The 23,726-nt window shown below is 36.2% G+C and overlaps 1 long non-coding RNA gene across 1 annotated transcript in view; it reads right to left on the reverse strand.

Moving 5' to 3' along the window:
• LOC105377509 (uncharacterized) overlaps positions 1-23,726 on the reverse strand; it is a 227,163-nt gene that overhangs the window by 116,233 nt on the left and 87,204 nt on the right. Inside the window, exon 3 of the long non-coding RNA XR_007058347.1 lies at positions 9,950-10,047. This is a non-coding gene — a long non-coding RNA (uncharacterized LOC105377509). The remainder of the gene's footprint in view (positions 1-9,949; positions 10,048-23,726) is intronic.

Below are 23,726 nucleotides of genomic sequence, written 5' to 3' on the forward strand. Positions count from 1 at the left end.
GGACTACAGCCCGTCACCAAAGCCTGGCTAATTTTTTGTATTTTTTTAGTACAGACAGGGTTTCACCGTGCTAGCCAGGATGGTCTCAATCTTCTGAAATCATGATCCGCCCGCCTTGGCCTCCAAAAGTACTGGGATTACAGGCGTGAGCCACCGCGCCGGGCCTAAATTTTATCCATATCCTGATGATGCCAAATTTATTGATTTAGTCCTCACCTCGCCCTGAGCACCAAACATTTATTTTTAATTATCTTCTTAAACTCTCCACTTGGATATCCAATGGGCATGCCAAACTTAACATTTTCCAAGCAAAGACCCTTTATTTCCTACTTTTCCCAACTTATTTCCCTCCCACCTGATATTTCCCATCTTAGTTAATGGAATTGACATCTACACATTCAGTGAGCAAAAATTAAGTCTTCATTAATAGTCTAATTTCATAATCTATTCTTTTCATTGATCAATAAATCTGTTATCTTTACCTTCAAGATACATATGAATTTAACAAATTCTCATAAGCTTACCTATTACCATTTAGTCCAAATCATGACCATCTTTTGCCTGAATGACTGCACTTGTGCTTTAACCGACCTTTCTGTTTTCATTTTTGTAAGCAAACCCCCTTCAAACAAACACACAAACTATCTCCTACATAGTGGCGAGAGGGATCTTTTTCAAGGGTAAATTACATCTTATCTTCCTTGCTTGCTACTTTGCATTAGCTTCCCATTACATTTAGAAGAAATGAAAATACTTATTTAGTCTGATAAATTCCTACATATAGTGTAGAATGATGATTACAACCATAGATTCTAAAGTCAGACTGCCCGTGGTAGTGACAGATTTAATCATTTACCAGCTGTAAGTTTTACTATGTGATCTTAGGCAAGCCATTAGTTTTCTCTTTGCTCCATGTGCTCACTTGCAAAATAGTGGTTAATAATAGTTCCTTTGACACACAGATATTGTTAAGATAAAACCAGTAAATGCTTGTTTGAAATAGTGTTTGGCATATTGTATATTTATTATTATTACTGTTATTGTTCTTCTTGCTAATAGAAAAGTTATTGTTATACACTACCTGGCCCTATTGACTTTTCAATTTTACCTTAAACCAACTCTCTCCACGCACCCCTGACTATGTTCCAGCCACTCTGAAGGTTTTATTGTTTTGAAGGTCTTTCCACATGTTGTTCTCTTTTCTTAGACTTTGCTTATCCCAGCTATTTGTATCGATGAATTACTTCAAGTCTGAGTTCAGATATCACTTCCTCTGGAAGATCCAGCCTACCTAACATAGGGCTTATTCCATCTCTACACTTTAGTCACTGTACTTCGTATCATCTTTCATTTTCTTCAGAACATATTACCATATTTATTATTTTATTGAATTGGTGTTTGTTGTGTTTTGTTTTGCTGCTGCTGTTTATTATTCATCTCTGACCATGGAAATGTAAGTTCCTCTAACAAAAAATGCAACAGGTGTTCAGAAAGAATCTGAAAAATGACTATCTATGTGTATATATATGTATGTATAATTTATATCTTATATATGTATATATACACATTTGCATATATACATATTATATATATGTTCCACATTCATTTTAAGTAATGAGAGAGAGTGGTAAGAACCATGGCTACACAGGTTTATGGCTTTTGAAAATAGATTTTGTTGCATTCTTTGTCTTGGGATACCACTGAAGGAATTAAAGTACTAATGAACCTTAATAACCTAATCAGACTTTCCAGTTTCTTTTTTCCTGCTTGTTCATTTATTGGAGTTTGGCTAGGTTTCATCAGGGTGAGAGAGGTGAAGAGGAGAATTAAATAAACCAAGAGAGGCTGGATTACACTATTTAAGAAAAATATAGAAGGAGGTGATGAGGCAGACAGGAGCAAGTGGGAGCCTCCTTTCCTTGAAAAATACAAAGACATGAGATCATGAAGCTGGGCCTTAGAAGATGTGTCATTTTTGATCTTTCTTTTTTTATTATTATTGTACTTTACGTTCTAGGGTACATGTGCACAACATGCAGGTTTGTTACATATGTATACATGTGTCATGTTGGTTTGCTGTACCCGTTAACTCATCATGTACATTAGGCATATCTCCTAATGCTATCCCTCCCCCATCCCCTCACCCCATGACAGGCCCCGGTGTGTGATGTTTCCTACCCTGTGTCCAAGCGTTCTCATTGTTCAATTCTCACCTATGAGTGAGAACATGTCGTGTTTGGTTTTCTGTCCTTGCGATAGTTTGCTCAGAATGATGGTTTCTAGCTTCATCCATGTCCCTACAAAGGACATGAACTCATCATTTTTTATGGCTGCATAGTATTCCGTGGTGTATATGTGCCACATTTTCTTAATCCAGTCTATCATTGATGGACATTTGGCTTGGTTCCAAGTCTTTGCTATTGTGAATAGTGCCACAATAAACATACGTGTGTATGTGTCTTTACAGCAGCATGATTTATAATCCTTTGGGTATATACCCAGTAATGAGATGGCTGGGTCAAATGGTATTTGTAGGTCTAGATCCTTGAGGAATCACCACACCTTCTTCCACAATGGTTGAACTAGTTTACAGTCCCACCAACAGTGTAAAAGTGTTCCTATTTCTCCACATCCTCTCCAGCACCTGTGTTTCCTGACTTTTTAATGATTGCCATTCTAACTGGTGTGAGATGGTATCTCATTGTGGTTTTGATTTGCATTTCTCTGATGGCCAGTGATGATGAGCATTTTTTCATGTGTCTGTTGGCTGCATAAATGTCTTCTTTTGAGAAGTGTCTGTTCATATCGTTTGCCCACTTTTTGATGAGTTGTTTGATTTTTTCTTGTAAATTTGTTAAAGTTCTTTGTAGATTCTGGATATTAGCCCTTTGTCAGATGGGTAGATTGTAAAAATTTTCTCCCATTCTGTAGGTTGCCTGTTCACTCTGATGGTAGTTTCTTTTGCTGTGCAGAAGCTCTTTAGTTTAATTAGATCTCATTTGCCTATTTTGACTTTTGTTGCCATTGCTTTTGGTGTTTTAGTCATGAAGTCCTTGCCCATGCCTATGGCCTGAATGGTATTGCCTAGGTTTTCTTCTAGGGTTTTTTTATGGTTTCAGTTCTAACATTTAAGTCTTTAATCCATCTTGAATTAATTTTTGTATAAGGTGTAAGGAAGTGATCCAGTTTCAGCTTTCTACATATGGCTAGCCAGTTTTCCCAGCACCATTTATTAAATAGGGAATCCTTTCTCCACTTCTTGTTTTTGTCAGGTTTGTCAAAGATCAGATGGTTATAGATGTGTGGTATTACTTCTGAGGGCTCTGTTCTATGCCATTGGTCTATATCTCTGTTTTGGTACCAGTACCATGCTGTTTTGGTTACTGTAGCCTTGCAGTATAGTTTGAAGTCAGGTAGCATGATGCCTCCAGCTTTGTTCTTTTGGCTTAGGATTGTCTTGGCTGTGCGGGCTCTTTTTTGGTTCCATATGAACTTTAGTTTTTTCCCAATTCTGTGAAGAAAGTCATTGGTAGCTTCATGAGGATGGCATTGAATCTGTAAATTACCTTGGGCAGTATGGCCATTTTCACAATATTGATTCTTCCTATCCTTGAGCATGGAATGTTCTTCCATTTGTTTGTGTCCTCTTTTATTTCGTTGAGCAGTGGTTGGTAGTTCTCCTTGAAGAGGTCCTTCACATGCCTTGTAAGTTGGATTCATAGGTATTTTATTCTCTTTAAAGCAATTGTGAAGGGGAATTTACTCATGTTTTGGCTCTCTGTTTGTCTGTTATTGCTGTACAGGAATGCTTGTGATTTTTGCACATTGATTTTGTATCCTGAGACTGCTGAAGTTGCTGACCAGCTTAAGGAGATTTTGGGCTGAGATGATGGGGTTTTCTAAATATACAATCATGTCATCTGCAAACAGGGACAATTCGACTTCCTCTTTTCCTAACTGAATACCCTTTATTTCTTTCTCCTGCTTAATTGCCCTGGCCAGAACTTCCAACATTATGTTGAATAGAAGTGGTGAGAGACAGCATCCCTGTCTTGTGCAAGTTTTCAAAGGGAATGGTTCCGGTTTTTGCCTATTCAGTATATTGTTGGCTGTGGGTTTGTCATAAATAGCTCTTATTATTTTGAGATATGTCCCATTAATACCTAGTTTATTGAGAGTTTTTAGCATAAAGGGCTGTTGAATTTTGTCAAAGGCCTTTTCTACATCTATTGAGATAATAATGTGGTTTTGTCTTTGGTTCTGTTTATATGATGGATTACGTTTATTGATTTGCATATATTGATCCAGCCTTGCATCCCAGGGATGAAGTCAACTTGATCGTTGTGGATAAGCTTTTTGATGTGCTGCTGGATTCTGTTTGCCAGTATTTTATTGAGGATGTTTGCCTCGATGTTCATCAGGGATATTGGTCTAAAATTCTCTTTTTTGGTTGTGTCTCTGCCAGGCTTTGGTATCAGGATGATGCTGGCCTCATAAAATGAGTGAGGGAAGATTCCCTCTTTTTCTATTGATCAGAATAGTTTCAGAAGGAATGGTACCAGCTCCTCTTTGTATCTCTGGTAGAATTCGGCTGCGAATGCGTCTGGTCCTGGACTTTTTTGGTTGGTAGGCTATTAATTATTGACTCAATTTCAGAGCCTGTTATTGGTCTATTCAGAGATTCAACTTCTTCCTGGTTTAGTCTTGGGAGGGTGTATGTGTCCAGGAATTTATCCATTTCTTCTAGATTTTCTAGTTTATTTGCATAGAGGTGTTTATAGTATTCTCTGATGGTAGTTTGTATTTCTGTGGGATCAGTGGTGATATCCCCTTTATCATTTTTTAATGCATCTATTTGATTCTTCTCTCTTTTCTTCTTTATTAGTCTTGGTAGCGGTCTATCAATTTTGTTGATCTTTTCAAAAAACCAGCTCCTGGATTCATTGATTTTTTGAAGGGTTTTTTGTGTCTATATCTCTTTCAGTTCTGCTCTGATCTTAGTTATTTCTTGCTTTCTGCTAGCTTTTGAATGTGTTTGCTCTTGCTTGTCTAGTTCTTTTAATTGTGATGTTAGGGTGTCAATTTTAGATCTTTCCTGCTTTCTCTTGTGGGCATTTAGTGCTATAAATTTCCCTCTACACACTGCTTTAAATGTGTCCCAGAGACTCTGGTATGTTGTGTCTTTTTTCTCATTGATTTCAAAGAACATCTTTATTTCTGCCTTCATTTTGTTATGTACCCAGTAGTCATTCAGGAGGAGGTTGTTCAGTTTCCATGTACTTGAGCAGTTTTGAGTGAGTTTCTTAATCCTGAGTTCTAGTTTGATTACACTGTGGTCTGAGAGACAGTTTGTTATAATTTCTGTTCTTTTACATTTGCTGAAGAATGCTTCACTTCCAACTATGTGGTCAATTTTGGAATAAGTGTGATGTGATGCTGAGAAAAATGTATGTTCTGTTGATTTGGGGTGGAGAGTTCTGTAGATGTCTATTAGGTCTGCTTGATGCAGAGCTGAGTTCAATTCCTGGATATCCTTGTTAACTTTCTGTCTCATTGATCTGTCTAATGTTGACAGTGGGGTGTTAAAGTCTCCCATTATTATTGTGTGGGAGTCTAAGTCTCTGTAGGTCTCTAAGGACTTGCTTTATGAATCTGGGTGCTCCTGTATTGGGTGCATATATATTTAGGATAGTTAGCTCTTCTTGTTGAATTGATCCCTTTACCATTATGTAATGGCCTTCTTTGTCTCTTTTGATCTTTGTTGGTTTAAAGTCTGTTTTATCAGAGACTAGGACTGCAACCTCTGCTTTTTTTGTTGTTTTCTATTTGCTTGGTAGATCTTCCTCCATCCCTTTATTTTGAGCCTATGTGTGTCTCTGCACATGAGATGGGTCTCCTGAATACAGCACACTGATGGGTCTTGACTCTTGATCCAATCTGCCAGTCTGTGTCTTTTAATTGGAGCATTTAGCCCATTTACATTTAAGGTTAATACTGTTATGTGTGAATTTGACCCTGTCATTATGATGTTAGCTGGTTATTTTGCTCGTTAGTTGATGCAGTTTCTTCCTAGCATTGATGGTCTTTACAATTTGGCATGTTTTTGCAGTGGCTGGTACCGGTTGTTCCTTTCCATGTTTACTGCTTCCTTCAGGAGCTCTTGTAAGGCAGGCCTGGTGGTGACAAAATCTCTCAGCATTTGCTTGTCTGTAAAGTATTTTATTTCTCCTTCAATTATGAAGCTTAGTTTGTCTGGATATGAAATTTTGGGTTGAAAAATTCGTTTCTTTAAGAATATTGAATATTTGCCCCCACTCTCTCCTGGTTTGTAGAGTTTCTGCCAAGAGATCCGCTGTTAATCTGATGGGCTTCCCTTTGTGGGTAACCCGACTTTCTCTCTGGCTGCCCTTAATATTTTTTCCTTCATTTCAACCTTGGTGAATCTGACAATTATGTGTCTTGGAGTTGCTGTTCTCGAGGAGTATCTTTGTGGTGTTCTCTGTGTTTCCTGAATTTGAATGTTGGCCTTCCTTGCTAGGTTGGGGAAGTTCTCCTGGATAATATCCTGAAGAGTGTTTTCCAGCTTGGTTCCTTTCTCCCCAACACTTTCAGGTACACCAATCAGACATAGATTTGGTCTTTTCACATAGTCCCATATTTCTTGGAGGCTTTGCTCGTTTCTTTTTACTCTTTTTTCTCTAAACTTCTCTTCTCACTTCATTTCATTCATTTGATCTTCAATCACTGATACCCTTTCTTCCACTTGATCGAATTGGTTGCTGAAGCTTGTGCATGCGTCACGTAGTTCTCGTGCCATGGTTTTCAGCTCCATCAGGTCATTTAAGGTCTTCTCTATGCTTTTATTCTAGTTAGCTATTCGTCCAACCTTTTTTCAAGGTTTTTAGCTTCTTTGTGATGGGTTCAAACATCCTCCTTTAGCTCGGAGAAGGTTGTTATTACCAATCATCTGAAGCCTTCTTCTCTCAACTTGTCAAAGTCATTCTCCATCCAGCTTTGTTCCATTGCTGGCGAGGAGTTGTGTTCCTCTGGAGGAGAAGAGGCGCTCTGATTTTTGGATTTTCAGCTTTTCTGCTCTGGTTTCTCCCCATCTTTGTGGTTTTATCTACCTTTGATCTTTGATGATGGAGACATACAGATGGGGTTTTAGTGTGGATGTCCTTTCTGTTTGATAGTTTTCCTTCTGACAGTCAGGACCCTCAGCTGCAGGTCTGTTGGAGTTTGCCGGAGGTCCACTCCATCCCCTGTTTTGCCTGGGTATCACCAGGGGAGGCTGCAGAACAGCAAATATTGCAGAATGGCAAATGTTGCTGCCTGATCCTTCCTCTGGAAGCTTCGTTTCAGAGGGTCATCTGGCTGTATGAGGTGCCGGTAGGCCCCTACTGGGAGGTTTCTCCCAGTTAGGCTACTCAGGGGTCAGGGACCCACTTAAGGAGGCAGTCTGTCCGTTCTCAGATCTCAAACTCTGTGCTGGGAGAACCGCTACTCTCTTCAAAGCTGTCAGACAGGGATGTTTAAGTCTGCAGAAGTTTGTGCTGCCTTTTGTTCAGGTGTGCCCTGCCCCCAGAGATGGAGTCTACAGAGGCAGGCAGGGCTCTTTGAGCTGCGGTGGGCTCCACCCAGTTCGAGCTTCCTGGCCACTTTGTTTACCTACTCAAGCCTCAGCAATGGTAGGCGCCCCTCCCCCAGCCTGGCTGCCACCTTGCAGTTCGATCTCAGACTGCTGTGCTAGCAGTGAGTGAGGCTCTGTGGGTGTGGGACCCTCCGAGCCATGCGCAGGATATAATTTCCTGGTGTGCTGTTTGCTAAGACAATTGGAAAAGTGCAGTATTAGGGTGGGAGTGTACCAATTTTCCAGGTACCATCTGTCACAGCTTCCCTTGACTAGGAAAGGGAATTCCCCCACCACTTGCACTTCTTGGGTGAGGTGATGCCCCGCCCTGCTCTGTGGGCTGCACCCACTGTCCAACAAGCCCCAGTGAGATGAACCCAGTATCTCAGTTGGAAATACAGAAATCATCTGTCTTCTGCATCACTCATGCTAGGAGCTATAGATTGGAGCTGTTCCTATTTGGCCATCTTGGAACTTCCTCCAGACTTTCAAGTTTTAAAGACAATTCTGGAAGCAGAGTTAAGGATGGTTTGGAATGGATAAGATTGAAGAATGTTTTATCAGTTATAAGTTTTTTGAAAAAAAATTTGAGAAAAGTGTCTAAACTACAGAAATGGTAGTAAAGATAAAATCAAGAACAAGTATAAGAGATACTTAAGTGTAATTGCTGAATTCTCATCCTCAATTGCCAATAAGTACAAATGTGTGACATTTATGATAATATTTCAAATCTGAATGCTTCATAACCTCTGTGCTGACTCATTAAATACTATTCCCAAATATACCTTACTCAAACCCAGAGGTTCAATAAGAGTGCATATGGCAATTAAACATGTAAATTGACTGCAACATGGTAATTTTCCTTTTAAGAATCAAAGGTGAGGGCATATCAATTAAACCAAAGCTTCTATCTTTTACTGTCATTTTTTATCAGCATCATTGAACACTATTGTTCTACTCAGTCTACACTCTGCCTTCTGTAAGAAGTGAAAAGGTCAATCAAGCAAGGAATATGTTGAGCACATTTCACATTATAAATGTGACCATGATTCTTTGACACCCTCTGGCCTTGCCTCTCAGTATAGCACACATTGCACAAATTCTAACTTATTTATCATGATTTATTTTACAGATCCTCTTATTTATCTCTTCAATTCAACTTTCACTGTCCCCCTCCCCATCATCTATCAAACAACTCTGAAATTCATAGTGGACCATGTTCAAATTATTTTTCATTAGACTTTTCGTCCCAAACACGTTATGGAATGGGCTCAGCTTGTGTTTTACCATTCGTGTCAATGAATAAGATACAAAATGTAAAAAGCTGGTAGGTCCAGAATACCTTGAGAATCTTTAAGGAAGACAATGTTGCCTAACTCGTTATGTTGGTCTCTCAGAGTCTCAGTGTAGGCGCTGTCAAAGTACCACTAAACTGGATTTTAAAAGTTGGTGCTGGATTCCCATATTTTTGGCTTAAGTGATTGGATGGAGGGTAGAATCATTCACAAAGAGGTAATAAAGGCACAGATTTTTAGAAGATTTTTTAAACATTTACTCTCCAGAAGACTTAAGATTTCTCTGTAGAAATACATATCTCATCTTTTCAAAATAGATTTACAAACATGTGATTTGTCATTTACAAAATCCCTATGATGTGGGCTTCAAAGCTGTTACATATCATTCCTACTTTGTAGGGGAAAATCAACGCAAACTAAATGTCAACATTTTTAAGTGTACACTTACAGTTAGAAACCAGGAGTTTTGCCTTGTACTGTAGGTTTTTTTTTTTTTTTTTTTTTTTTTGCTTCTACTATATCATGCTGGCCACATTTAATCTCACATACCTAACTTTCACATTTTCCTCATTTACTTTCTAAACAATAGAACTTCTGATTGTCCTCTATCATGACTTTTTTTCAACAAGAAGGCAGTGTATGCAGGGTTAAGAGAATAATAGGTAAAGTGCAAGAAGAACAGAAGTGAAAGATACTCAGCCCCACAGACTGCATGAACTCTTCACGCTCTGTCTCTTGGTCTCATGAAATACTGTAAAATATCCATTATTTTTAATCCTATAAGTTCTACTTTTTTGTCTCTATACTCATAATGTCTTTACTACAATTTCCTTATAATAATGGATAATGCAGTGAGATCTTAACAGTTCTATATTTATTTTTGGCACTATTGATATTCAGACAAAATCCCAATCATAGGTCATAAGAGGAAATAAAAAAGGTTCATGAACTTTATTTCATGAGACATATATTTAGATGCAGACATTTTCTGTGTAATCTCTTAATATAGATTTGGAAAGAATACCTGTAAGGCCACCATATGTCTCTCGCCTTCCTCTGGCAGTCACTGCTTCAGGGATGATCTCACTCTTAGCAGTTCCTGGAAACCATCAAATGCAAAACCTGGCAGAGAAAGAGACAGTGCACTCATACCTTATAGAACAGGGGAAACAGCTTAGAAGAGTTGAATACTAGTTCATCCCAATGCCTAGACTAGTAAAATTAAGTTATGGTTAGCAAAAACTGTCTTTTTTTGAAAGCTATTGCCAAAACATCTGGAAACTTAATAGAAGTTCCAGAAGGCTTTGACCAAATGTAGCCCTTTGTAGCTACAAAAAGTCTATCATGAGCCTTTATAAATGATATATTAGGCTGACGCTTAGCAGTGAAAAGTTAGGATTGGTTGTGAAGGAGCCTTGCTCCTTTGTGGAGGTGCACATTTCACTCCGCAATATCTGACTGCCGCTTCCTCCCTGAAGCTTCAGATAATAAAGAGTCCATTGTATACCTTGTGACCAAATTTAAAACAAAATAAAACAAAACAAACATGCATATGTTCAAGCTCATCAAAAAGCATAAACACGTGCAATTTTTCTATATCAATTATGCCTCAATAATATTAAAAAACAAAAATATTCTCACATTTGCATTTCATATTTTACCACCTAGAGCCTCATGGGTATCTTTAAATTTTGTCCACTGAATATTATGTATATATCTTCTTTTTAGAATGGTTAATTATCAATTCTTAACTTGTTTAATAAATAAATAAATACTAAAATATAATGCTAAAACCATTGTAAATCTTTGTAGAATGTAATGCTGGAGTTCAAAAGTTGAATCAATCAACTGACCTTGAAGTCATGTTTCTGATTCTCAAAACATGCATTTGATTATTATGAACCTCAAATTTCACAAGTTTGTATGTGAAAGAAATCAGATTTGCTTCTTCTCTAATAGAACACATTCTTGACTCAGTTCAGAGGTTGTAAGACTGGTTTTGCCGCCAGAAAAATAAGGGAAGAATTAATAATAAATATATTTTCACAAGAATTTATAATGTAAATTTTCTCAGTTGATAAAGTGTATTAAGTACTTATTGTGTGCTAGGCACGAAAGTTTATGTTATCCTCATTCTATTGACAAGGAACTGGAGGCTTAGTATGAAAATTTCCCCAGGTTATTCTAAGAGTAAGTGGCAACACACAACCTACCACAGCTGTCTTTGGGAGTTGGAAGTAAGTCTTATGGAACATACCCACATAATCCTATACAGGTAATCCTGTACATCTTGTCATCTTTGCTTGATTCTTAAATTAGTATTTTTTACTTTAGCCATTCAAGTGGGTGCGAAATATTGTCACCATGTGGTTTTAACTTGCATTTTGTGTTACGGTGGGTATAAATTTTACTTTTATGTAGGCTGAAACCCCAAAATGCATGGCTGCTATTTTTGCTTTTGATAGTCATCTATCTGTAGGAGCAGATAACAATAATAAGAAATGCCTTTTCTATCCAACTTTATTTTAACTATTTTTGGAGCTCTATATTTCTTTTTTAGAAATCCAAATTTCTATCTGGTCTCTCATTCTGAGACAGAAATTTGCTTTAACATTTTTTGCAGTAAAGATGCAAATTCTCTTTGCTATTATTCTTCTGCAAAATTTCTGTGAAAAAAAAAGTCCATTTCTCCTTAATTGTTGTAAGGTATTTTAGCTGTGTATATCTAAATGGACAGAGTTTTTCCCCCAGTATTTTTAAAAGTCACCTCCCTTGTTTTCTGTCTTGCATAGTTTCTGATGGGAAATTTACCCTTATGCTTATATTTACCCTTCTATAGTAATCTGTCGCTGTATTCTGGCTGCCTTAAAGATTTTTCTTTATTATTTGCATTCAACAAATTGATTTTGATATACCTTGGTATTTTTTAATTTGTCTTTATCGTGCTTGAAATTAGTGAGTTTTTGCATCCCTTTGATTTACAATTTTCATCAAATTTGGAAATTATTATTTCCTCAAATAATTTTACCTATCTCTTCTTTCTGGAATTCAAATTAAATTTATATTAGATTACTATTTTTCCAGAAAGTTGGAGTCTCTGTTAATTTATTTTCAGTCTTTATCTTCCCCTATCTTCTTCATTTTGGATAGTTTCTATTGCTATGTCTTCAAGTTGAATAATCTTTCTTTCCTACAGTATTTCATTAGCTGTTAATTTTGTCCAGTGAAATTTTTATTTTATGTACTGATTTTTAACTCAGTGTTCCTTTTTTGTATTTTTCATTCCTCTTCTCACTGATTTTTCCTATAAGTCTTTAAGCATATTGAGTATATTTATAAAATCTGTTTTAATGTTCTTATTTACTAATTACATTATCTACATCACTTCTCTATTTCTTTTTTTTTTTTTTTTTGAGGCAGTCTCCTGTGTTGCCCAGGCTGGAGTGCAGTGGCATGATCTCAGCTCACTGCAACCTCTATCTCTCGGGTTCAAGCGATTCTCCTGCCTCAGCCTCCCAAGTAGCTGGGACTACAGGTGCCAGCCACCACGCCCAACTAATTTGTTTTTATTTTTATTTTTAGTAAAGATAGGGTTTCACTATGTTGGCCAGGCTGGCCTTGAACTCCTGACCTCGTGATCTGCCTGCTTCAGCCTCCCAAAGTGCTGGGATTACAGGCATGAGCCACCGTGCCTGGCCTCTCTATTTCTTTAGAGAGATTGAGTGTTTTCTTGTTATTATGGATCACATTTTCCTCCATTTTGCAAGTCTAGTAATTTCAGGATTGTATGCTCGACTTTGCAAACTTTATGCTACTGAGTGCTTGCTTTTATTTATTATTTTAAAGAGTTTTGGACTCTGCACTGGTGGATTGTAAAGTGGCTTACAGATTTTTTATCTTTTGGAAGCTTATTTCTTTACTCTCATAAAGGGAATATTTATTCAATCTATGTTTAATGTAAGATCTCTTATCATTGGGTTTATATATAACATATTGATATCTATTTTCTCTGAGAATCTTTTTTTTTTAAAATATTTTAAAGGGCAGGTCTTTGGTGTTCTTTTTGGCCTGTTTGGTCCCAATAAGCCTGGCCATTCAGAAGGTCTACACGGAAAGCCCCACGTATCCAAAAGTGTCTGTCAACTCTGTCTGCTGGAAACGGCCATGATTCTTGCTCCTGTGAGAGCACTAGGCAGTTTTCTCTTTAGAGGTCAATAGTACTTGGTCATTTCCTAGAACTACTTTTTGACTCTACACATTTGCAGATTTCTGGAAACTTTTCTGTTGGCAGCTTTGTCCTCTTGGTACTTTTCCTCACCAATTCTACCTGTCTCAACCTCCCTAAACTCTGATCCGTGTCTCATAAAACTCATGATCACAGTAGGCTCTGTTTGAGTCCTTTTTCTCTGTGTCACAGTATAAAAATTGCCTCCAGTAGCTAGAGCAGCCCCAACACCTGACTCATTTGTTGCCCTTCTCTTAGGGATCATAGGCCTGCACTGCCTGTTGTTCCTTGTCTTAAAACAATGATTCCACATTTTGTGAAATCATTGAGTTTTCTATTGTGAAATCATAGAGTTTTGTGAAATCATAGAGTTTCACATGAGTTTTCTATATGAAATCATAGAGTTTTCTATTTCTTGACAATGGGAGGGTGATTCTGGTCTTCACAGGTTTGTCATGAATGAAGCACATCCTGCATCATTTCTGTCAGAGGTGGTGGAGGGCACACAGACTCTGGAGAGAAATGGCATACATTACCATTTCAGATCCACAGAACAGTGTAATCACCCAAGGGTTCATATCGCCTGCTGCCCTGAAAAGCCACCGTACTGAGAACAGGTTTTTGCAATGGAGAAAGGGTTTAATAAATGCAGAGCCAACTAAGCAGAAGGACAGGAGTTTATTATTACTCACTCAAATCAGCCCCTCTGAAAATTCAGAGGCTAGGGATTTTTTGAGGACAGTTTGGCAGGCAGAAGGCTACAGAATGGGGAGTGCTGATTGGTTGGGTTGGGGGTGAAATCATAGGGAGTTGAAGCTGTCCTCTTTCAGAGTCAGCTCCTAGATGGGGACCACAAGACCAAATGAGCCAGTTCACTGGGCTGGGTGGCACCAGCAGATCCAACACAACACAGGGTCTGAAAAATACCTCGAACACCAGTCTTAGGATTTACAATAATGATGTATCCATAGGAGCAACTGGGGAGGTGAGGAATCTTGTGGCATCTGGCTACGTGGCTCCTGAGCCATAATTTCTAATCTGTGACTAATTTGTTCATTTTACAAAGGTGGTCTGGTCCCCCAAAAAGGAGGAGGTTTGTTTTGAGAAGAGGCCGTTATCATCTTTGTTTCAAAGTTAAACATAAACTAAATTCCTCCCAAAATTAGCTTTGCCTATGCCCAGGAATGAACAAAGGCAGCTTGAGAGTTAGAAGCAAGAGAATCAGTTAGGTCACATTTCTTTTACTGTCACAATTTTCCTATGTCAGGTTTTTCTCACTTTCACAATATTTGCAAAAGCAATTTCAGTATTAATTCTGGGAGCTTAAGCAACATATTAACCTTCCTGTGCCTCAGTTTCTTCATCTGTAAAGTAAAGGTGGTAATAACAATAACTACTTCACGGATTTGTTGTTATGATTAGAGGATTTATTATGCACCAAGCTCTTAGAAGAGTGGGTAGCATAGTAAGAACTATGTAATTGCTGTTTTTTACACAGGCTACTTCCTCCATTCCTTGACGTAGTTTCCCAGAATGATTGCTTCTCTCTTATTAAAGAGAAAGTAATCTGCAAGAATTGACAATAAACTTCTTATTGCAATTATGCCTGGGGGAGGGCTACAAGAAAATGTGGTAGTGATCAAAGAGAATTTAACTTTCATTTGTAATGTTTTAATTTTTTTCTGAAGAGAATATATGTTTCTGTTAATTTTGTAAGTAAATATGCTTTTAAAAAGAAGAAAAAAGCAACAATATTTCTTCCATATTAGAGACTGCTAGTGATTACCAAACTCCAGGCTCTTATCTTTTTCCTGTTCACACATCGAGATTCTATTTCCCAGCCTCTTCTGTTATTAGATGTAGCCACAGGACTAAGATCTAGGCAACAAAGTTTTACTGAGTGTTCCATGCTCTACTTCTGAAACTATACTTTTTTAGGGCTAAAGAAACCTAAGGCAATGTTTGGTGACTTAAGATCAGAGGGAAACTATCCCTAAAGTGATAGTCCTATTAGATAGATCCTGTGAATTGAGAGTTCATTTGGAAAAAATATTTGTATTTTAAAACGTTAGCCCCAACTTTCAAGTTGCGTTACTGCTTCAATCATATTGCTAAAACTCTGAAAACAAGAACACCATTTGTTCTAATATTATTTATCCTCTTGGTATTTGGCAAAATGTCAAGGACATCAGAAGCATACATATAACCTTCATGTTGTTTTTTTATTTCCTCACATACCTATTTCACTGAGAATGAAATATTTTGAGGATTATTCTCTTGTCATTTTTCTTTATGTTTAAACCTTAGCTCCTTAAATTCAGAGTGTTCACAAAGGATAGCCTGCTACAAATCGCCAACTGCTTCCAAATCTCAATTGCATATATTTTTCATTTTATTGTTTAACACAAGTTTAATTATCATAACCTAAACATGTCTTTTACTAGAACAATGAAATATCTCTGATGGCCAAATCATTTTCTCTACCATTAAAGATGGATGGGGAGACTACCATATAAATAAGGGAGATTTAAAACACCATTAAAATCAAAATTGCTTCTTATTTCTCACATGCAAATAGTGCATTTCTCTCTTGGTTTCATGCAATCAATTGATTAAAAACAACAAGATAAGGAATTGAGAAACTAAAGGCAAAATATTATAAAATTTATAAGCATGTAAAATATAATTAAGTAATTAATTTAAACATTTAAGGCAGAAGAATCATGGGGAGATTAAAGGAGAAAAAAGAGGTGGTGTGTTATTTTTGTTTCAGACTTTTAGAATGAACGTATTTGTTCCAAATATAATTTTCAATTTTGCCAGCTTAAAAAAATTTCATCAAGGCCAGAAAAATAACATGTTAAGGAGGCATACTCTTTGTGAGACTGGGAGACGATATTCATTTAAAAAGAAATATGTGGGCTAATAAAAAAATCCAAACCTCATTTATACAAAAATTGCCAAAAACTAACCCATTATGTTGCTTATGTGATATTATGTAAAATGGAAAAATCTTAAGGACCATGGTGTATTATTTGCCCGTGAAAACCCACAACAATAGAAATTGGCAAATATTGAAAACTTGCATCTTTAGAGACTCTTTGACATCTGTTACTTTAAAAGCTTCTCTTTATAAAATGACTCTGGAGCTTAATTCTGTGTTTAAATCCATATACCCAGCCACTCTCAAAATAAAATTAAAGTTATTTATATACAAAATCTATTAGGAAATGTGTCAATGTTTTCCTGTCATTTATTTGCTAGTTTCACTGTGAATCTTAATGCTTCTGCTGCATAAATGCTATGAGGAAAACAGACACACATTGACAAATGAAAATAATTATTTCATAATTATTTCAATAATGTATTATGAATTTAATGTTATTATAGAAAGTCATTTCATCTACCTGGAAGCTATTCTTCTTTTTTTTTTTTTGGAGTCAGATAAACCTGCATTTATTTTTTTATTTTTTTTTAGAATTGGTTCATGAGTTTAATTTTTTTTATTATACTTTAAGTTCTAGGGTACATGTGCACAACATGCAGGTTTGTTACATATGTATACATGTGCCATGTTGTTGTGCTGCACCCATTAACTCATCATTTACATTAGGCATCCTCCTAATGCTGTCCCTCCCCCATCCCCCCACCCCACAATAGGCCCCGGTATGTGATGTTCCCCTTCCTGTGTCCAAGTGTTCTCATTGTTCAGTTCCCACCTATAAGTGAGAACATGCGGTGTTTGGTTTTTTGTCCCTGCCATAGTTTGCTGAGAATGATGGTTTCCAGTTTCATCCATGACCCTACAAAGGACATGAACTCATCATTTTTTATGGCTGCATAGTATTTCATGGTGTATATATGCCACATTTTCTTAATCCAGTCTATCATTGTTGGACATTCGGGTTGGTTTCAAGTCTTTGCTATTGTGAATAATGCCGCAGTAAACATACGTGTGCATGTGTCTTTATAGCAGCATGATTTATAATCCTTTGGGTATATACCCAGTAATGGGATGGCTGGGTCAAATGGTATTTCTAGTTCTAGATCCCTGAGGAATCACCAAGCTGACTTCCACAATGGTTGAACTAGTCTACAGTCCCACCAACAGTGTAAAAGTGTTCCTATTTCTCCACATCCTCTCCAGCACCTGTTGTTTCCTGACTTTTTAATGATCGCCATTCTAACTGGTGTGAGATGGTATATCATTGTGGTTTTGATTTGCATTTCTCTGATGGCCAGTGACGATGAGCATTTTTTCATGTGTCTGTTGGCTGCATAAATGTCTTCTTTTGAGAAGTGTCTGTTCATATCCTTTGCCCACTTTTTGATGGGGTTGATTCTTATTGCTGGTGTTTCGTTTTTATCTGCAAACTGGATAGTCATAATTTAAAGGACCTCTACAAAAGATAATTTCGTTGACTACAGTTAATTTTGACTGTGTTTCAGTCAGCTAACTACATATCAATGTGCATCCTTTCCCTTAATGGTATAGAGATTTTACTTGGAAATTAGTTATCAAGCCAGGAACTACATTCCCCAACATCACTTGCCTCTGTGAGTTTTCACATGAGACTTGCTGTTGCCAGTAGAATGTGAGTGAAGGTGAGAGGTACTGTTTCCTTTCCAAAGAGTTCTTTCCAAAGTGATCTTTCCAAAGCATTTCTTTCCAAAGTATTCTTTCTTTGTGCTCTTTTTCTGCTCAAGGCAAATGACCTCAAAGGTGTGGGGGAAAGTGAATCCGTAAGATGAGCAGAGCCTGTCTCTCTAAATCACTAAATGGAAGAGCATCACCTGCTAACCAGGAACACCTACTTAGGACTATTAAGTGAGCAATAAATAAATTCCTTTTTTGTTCAGGCCATTGAGCACCACTGGATATTCTTTTTGCAGCTCAAAGTATTTGTTATAGAAGCTAAACAATATAGTCTTACTATAATAATTGAAAACATTGAAGCCCAATGTCAATTTTCTATCTGGTAAGAGAAAGCACCTGAAGGAAGACCTAAAATGACATGAGAGATCAACCTGACTCTAACATTTGTCACCAGTAAATTGCTAGAGTGGATCTGACTACTCTGTCTACCTGGTTAAACATCTCTCCCTGCATCCTCACTACTCCAAACATGCCGTCCACAAACCATTTCTGTTGAAGATGATCCCCTAATAATAGAATTATTTCACTGGTGAAGAATATAAGCAAGGTAAGTCTACCTGTTTGAACTTTTAAGGATACAGAGCACATAAAATAACAGTATAGAGTGAGAGAAAGCAATCCTTGCTAACTAGAATCCTACTAAAAAATATAGTGTCATAGGCCAAAACAGCTATTATTAAATCATGTATAAAGACACTCAGAGGTTGATGTCAAAAACAACATAGCTGCTCAAGGAAGTCATCAAAGGCCAAAGCACCTTTTTTCCACCTACACTGCCATCTTTGTTTGTGATTGTCATATGATTGTTTCACATACAGATATCAAGGCATTCCAAAGAAAGGAATGAAAAAAAGGTAAATGACAAAAGACATGCCCATACTGACTGTATGCCTTTATTTTGATGAAAGCAATAACTTTTCTGGAAATGTATGTGGTAGACCTTTGCTTATATTATGTTAGCGAGGACTGGTTGCATAGCTACTCTTAGCTGCAAGGGAGACTAAAGAGTTGACGGTAGGCACATTCTCCAGAATGTCTGCCCAGATAATAATTTCACATTTTTGTGTATATCACTTCCAATTTAAAGCTTATCAGAAACAAAGTTTTAAGATCCAAGTTTCATTTGTTGTATGTATTTGTCAACATCTTTTTTAGCTAAAGTATACATTTGTAAAAATTTATAGAATATGATGTGTGGAAATAACTTTGAATAAGAATACAAATACAATTTAAGAACTACAGGAATCATATAATGACATTTTAATAAGCACATGGAAAATTAATAAATGGATCCCAGAATCTAAAAGATGCCTCCTATATATTACTAACCCTACAAGGTTTCATGTTATTGCATTAAAAATAACTGTTTCTTAAGATCCTAGGGTGATAGTTACACACATTCATATACGTGTGTGTGTGTGTGTGTTTATGTGTGTGTAGGCATTTTACTGTGTCTTAATTACATTTAAGATATTGGTCTGATTATAAAATGTAATACATCTAACTTTATGCTGTTTAGTAGATTTTTGTCACATAACATTTAGCAACAGATTACTGATATTTAGTTGGAAATGACTACATTTTAAAATTCTGCACATTACTATATTGAGCAAAATCAAGTATATGTTACTAAATAAGGGAAAAGGAATATTGAGTATGTAACTAATTATGTGGGCCATACAAACCAACCAAAATCTTTATGTTCTTAAAGAAATTTTCTATGGGCATTTTTAATTACATAAGATAGATTTTTTTAAACATGATGTTGTGAATCCTTCAACCACAAATATAGTTTTAAAATTGTGGAGCCCAATTACTATATCAACATAAAAATCTAAAGTACTCATAAGCAGCAGTGTGTTTCATTTACGTTGGTTCAGCCTGTTAGTTACACAAACTATCAGAACTGTGTACTTTAAATGATTTTAAGTTGATACGCATTCTAGTCACAGTAATGAGGATTGAAGACAAGGCAGAATACAGTTAAGAATATTAATTCACCACATTTTAAATGCCAGTCCAGGATTTATTTGTTCCTTCTGTTAGTTAACACCTATTACGTGAGTCAATATGGTAATAGTAGTAGCTAATATTGTTGCCAAAGATTCTACATTATTTTTATCATCACAGCAATTGTGTAATCTATTAATTCCTATTCATGTCACATATTTAGAAAGGTTAAGTTGCTTTACCCCAGATTACAAGAGAGAGGGCATAGCTTTTATGTGCCTAAAACAGGAATCAAATGCTGGCCCTTTTCTCTGATCCTAAAGAATTATAAAAACGATTAAATCTGCCTTCCCTAAACTTGGGAAGGCAGCCTGGGACAGGTGATGAGACATAATGAGGCAAAAAGAAGTAGCATATTACAGAAAACCCGATCTTATTAAAAGATTGCTTGAAAATCACTTATTTTAGCTTTGAAAAGTTTTTACTTCAAAATTATGAAAGGAAACTGATACAGGGGTGTGTTTATTAGAAATATTAAATAACTTTTCAGAAATTTTTAAAACTACAGGTGAATACAAAGTAAAAATGGTTAAATAAGCATTAGAAAATATGAGGCCTTTTGAAAACATATTTTTGAAGGCATATTGTTTCTGGAAACGTAATTTCATGGGTGATCTTCCTTCTTGTATATGACAGCAAAAGAAAAAATAAATAAACTAGACTTTATGAAAATTAAAATCTGTTGTATATAGAAAGACACAATCACCAGAGTAAAAAGATAACTCAAAATGTGATAAAATATTTTCAAATCATATATCTGGTAAGGAACTGATATCCAGTATATATATAAAACTCTCAAAACTCAACAAAAACAAATAATCTGATTCAAATATGGAAAAGACTTGGATAGGCATTATCTAAAGAATATATACAAATACTAATAAGTGCATGAAGATATGCTCAACATCATTAATCATTAGCGAAATGTAAATCAAAATCACAATGAAATACCATCACACAACCATTAGGATGACTGCTATCCAAAAAATAAATACATAAAAACAGGAAATACCAAGTGCTGGCAAGAATGTGGAGAAATTGGAATCTTGTGTGCACCATTGGTAGAAACGTAAAATGGCGTAGCTGATATGGAAAACAGTACAGCCATTCCTCAAAACAAATAAAATGAAATTATCATATGATTCAGCAATTTCTCTTCTGAATATATACCCAAAAGAACTGAAAGCAGGGTCTCAAAGAGGTATTTATACACCCATGTTCACAGCAGCATTATTTACAACAGCTCAAATGTGGAAGCAACCAAGTGTCCATCAATGGATGAATGGAAAAAACATATATATATATATCGCATTTCCTATATATATATCGCATTTCATATATATATATATCGCATTTCATATATACATATATATCGCATTTCTCATATATATATATATATATATATATATAGGAATACTATGTATCCTTAAAATTCTGACACATGCTGCAACTGGATGAACCCTGAAGATACCATACCAAGTGAAATAAGCCAGATACAAGAAGACAAATACATTATGATCCCACATCTATGAGTAGGCAAATTTATAGAGATGGAAAGTACAGTGGTGGTTACCAGGGATGAGGTAAGGGAAAAGGGAATTACTGTTTAATGGGCACAGTTTCTGTTTTGCAAGATGAAAAGAGTTCTGGAGATGGATCATAGTGATGATTCTACAATAATACGAGTGTACTTAATACCATTGAGCTGTATACTTAAAAGTGGTTAGGATAATAAACTTTATGTTGCATGTATTTTAGAATAATAAAACCTGTTTATTAAACATGCATATAGAAAATATAGGTGTGGCGAAGAATATAAATAAAAGAGATTTATCCAAGAAAGTTAAAAATTGAGGCAAAATGTTTAAATGATAATAATTTTACTCAAGAAATGTAAATACATCTGTGCATGGAATCTGACTCTAAAATCTCAAAGTTTTTTAATCTCAAGCCCTTTCATCTCTGTGTTCTATGTATGAGTTCCTCAGTCACAGAATTGATTCAATTTTCTTTGAAAATAAGCATTGGTCAATAATTATTGAAGATATTAATCAGATAGGCTTTCTCCATTTGGGTTTATTAATTATCTGCTTTTGAAACTCAAATAATCAGGGACCTAGGAGTGCTTATTAAAATTAGTAAAAGAGGAGAGGATTCTGGGATATGGGGTGACCAGAAGATAGCTCCCCTCTCCTGACCCCCAACCCCAAGCCATCTGTCACTGCTGATCAAAGCTGCTTGGGACCTATGAGTGACGGAGCACAGGAGAGAGGATGCCTCTCCTGGATTCTATGGAGGACTGGAGTAGACCTTTTTTCTGAGGGGATGAGTAAGTTTCTAGAGAACAGGTTGAAGTGTGGAGAAAGGAATATAAATAAAAAAGGCAAATTCGTAACTCTCTTACAAATAAATGTAAAATGAACATAGGCCAAGGCCTGCCTGCCATAACTATTACTAAAGTAATTAATGAAGAAAAACAGACAAAAGTGCCACAAGGGTTAAACAGCTAACTCAGAGTCGCATACAACATTTATAGTCAGATAAGGAATGCTGAAATGTTATTTACACGGGAATGAAAAACTGGCAAAACTAGTCAATATTCTCAGAGCAATAACTAATTGCATTTCATCAGACACAATTTGCATTTCTATGGACAGAAATCATTTGCATTTCTCTCAGTTTTCTACAAATTATCATCTATCTCTATAAAGTTATGAAACAGCCTAGTCAAAGACAAAGGCAGAGATAACTCAGATGGAAGAGCTTGTCAGGACACCCACCACGTTTCAAAGTCTTTCACAATTTTTCCTCACAGTATATAGATACAAATAATTAAATTTGAAAAGGAAAAAGATGGACTATCTGGGAATGGGTGACGCAAGTTTAAATAAAATCCTTGAAACAGATGAAATATAGTGTAGTGGAAATTCAAATAATAGCATGGAACTAACAGCATAGAACCATTTAAAACATAAAGGATTGGAGGTTTGGGGGTAGATATATAAGCTGTCTCAATTTGTCCTCAGGAGGAAAGGCAGGAAGAAAAAAAAACATAAGTGAACGTATTTTAAAGATCTCAGTATATAGAGTTGGGGGTATATAGGGCACAAACGGAGCATCTTGCTTGAGAAAACACAAGTATCTTTGTGGGTGGTTGCTATTTTCTTTCCGAATAACAGTAGAAAATTATATTTGGGGTACTGATAATAGAGAGAAGGAAAGAAACTAAAAGCAGGAAAGACAGACGATGATTCCAACTTATTTTTTCTCATTATCACACATAGACCATCACTTAGCCGTAATGTTACCAATAGGCTTAGCTCTAAGTTATTGATACATTCTCTTCAGAGCATATACTGAAGGAGGAGTTTGGAGCTTGGTTTTTTTTTTATAACATCTCTCCTGAAGTGCCTTATAGTGAAGCTAGGATTTTTTTTTTCAGTTGTTTGATTTGGTTTGGTTCTTTGGCTCAAAGATAAAGATATTCTGACATGAAGAAAATGAATAAAATATGCCTATCATAGTATGTCTTGATGTTGTTTATCTTCTGCTTACTATTTACACCAATTAGCTTCCAGGTCATCTGAGGTGTAAGACCTTAGAAAGTGAGACTAATTATGGTATAGATGGTCGCACAAAATAGACAAGGGGAATTTGCTGGTACCTGTGAGATTTGGGAGGAAACAGTGTAGGAGAACTCAAGAAATATAAATAGTGGTTTTAGGTTTACAGCTAATGCAAATTTGTATAATTTGAGTTCAGCTTCTGCAGTTTGAAAGATGCCAATATTGAGTGCTATGGCATTTAACATCAGGAAAATGAGACTCGGGCACAGATGGGTGTTCAGGCTTCAAGGGAACAAATCCTTAAATTTAAATAACTGTGAGAATAATTACATAGTTTTGTTGC

The sequence above is a fragment of the Homo sapiens genome, chromosome 4 (assembly GCF_000001405.40).
Source record: "Homo sapiens chromosome 4, GRCh38.p14 Primary Assembly".
Lineage (NCBI taxonomy): Eukaryota > Metazoa > Chordata > Mammalia > Primates > Hominidae > Homo > Homo sapiens.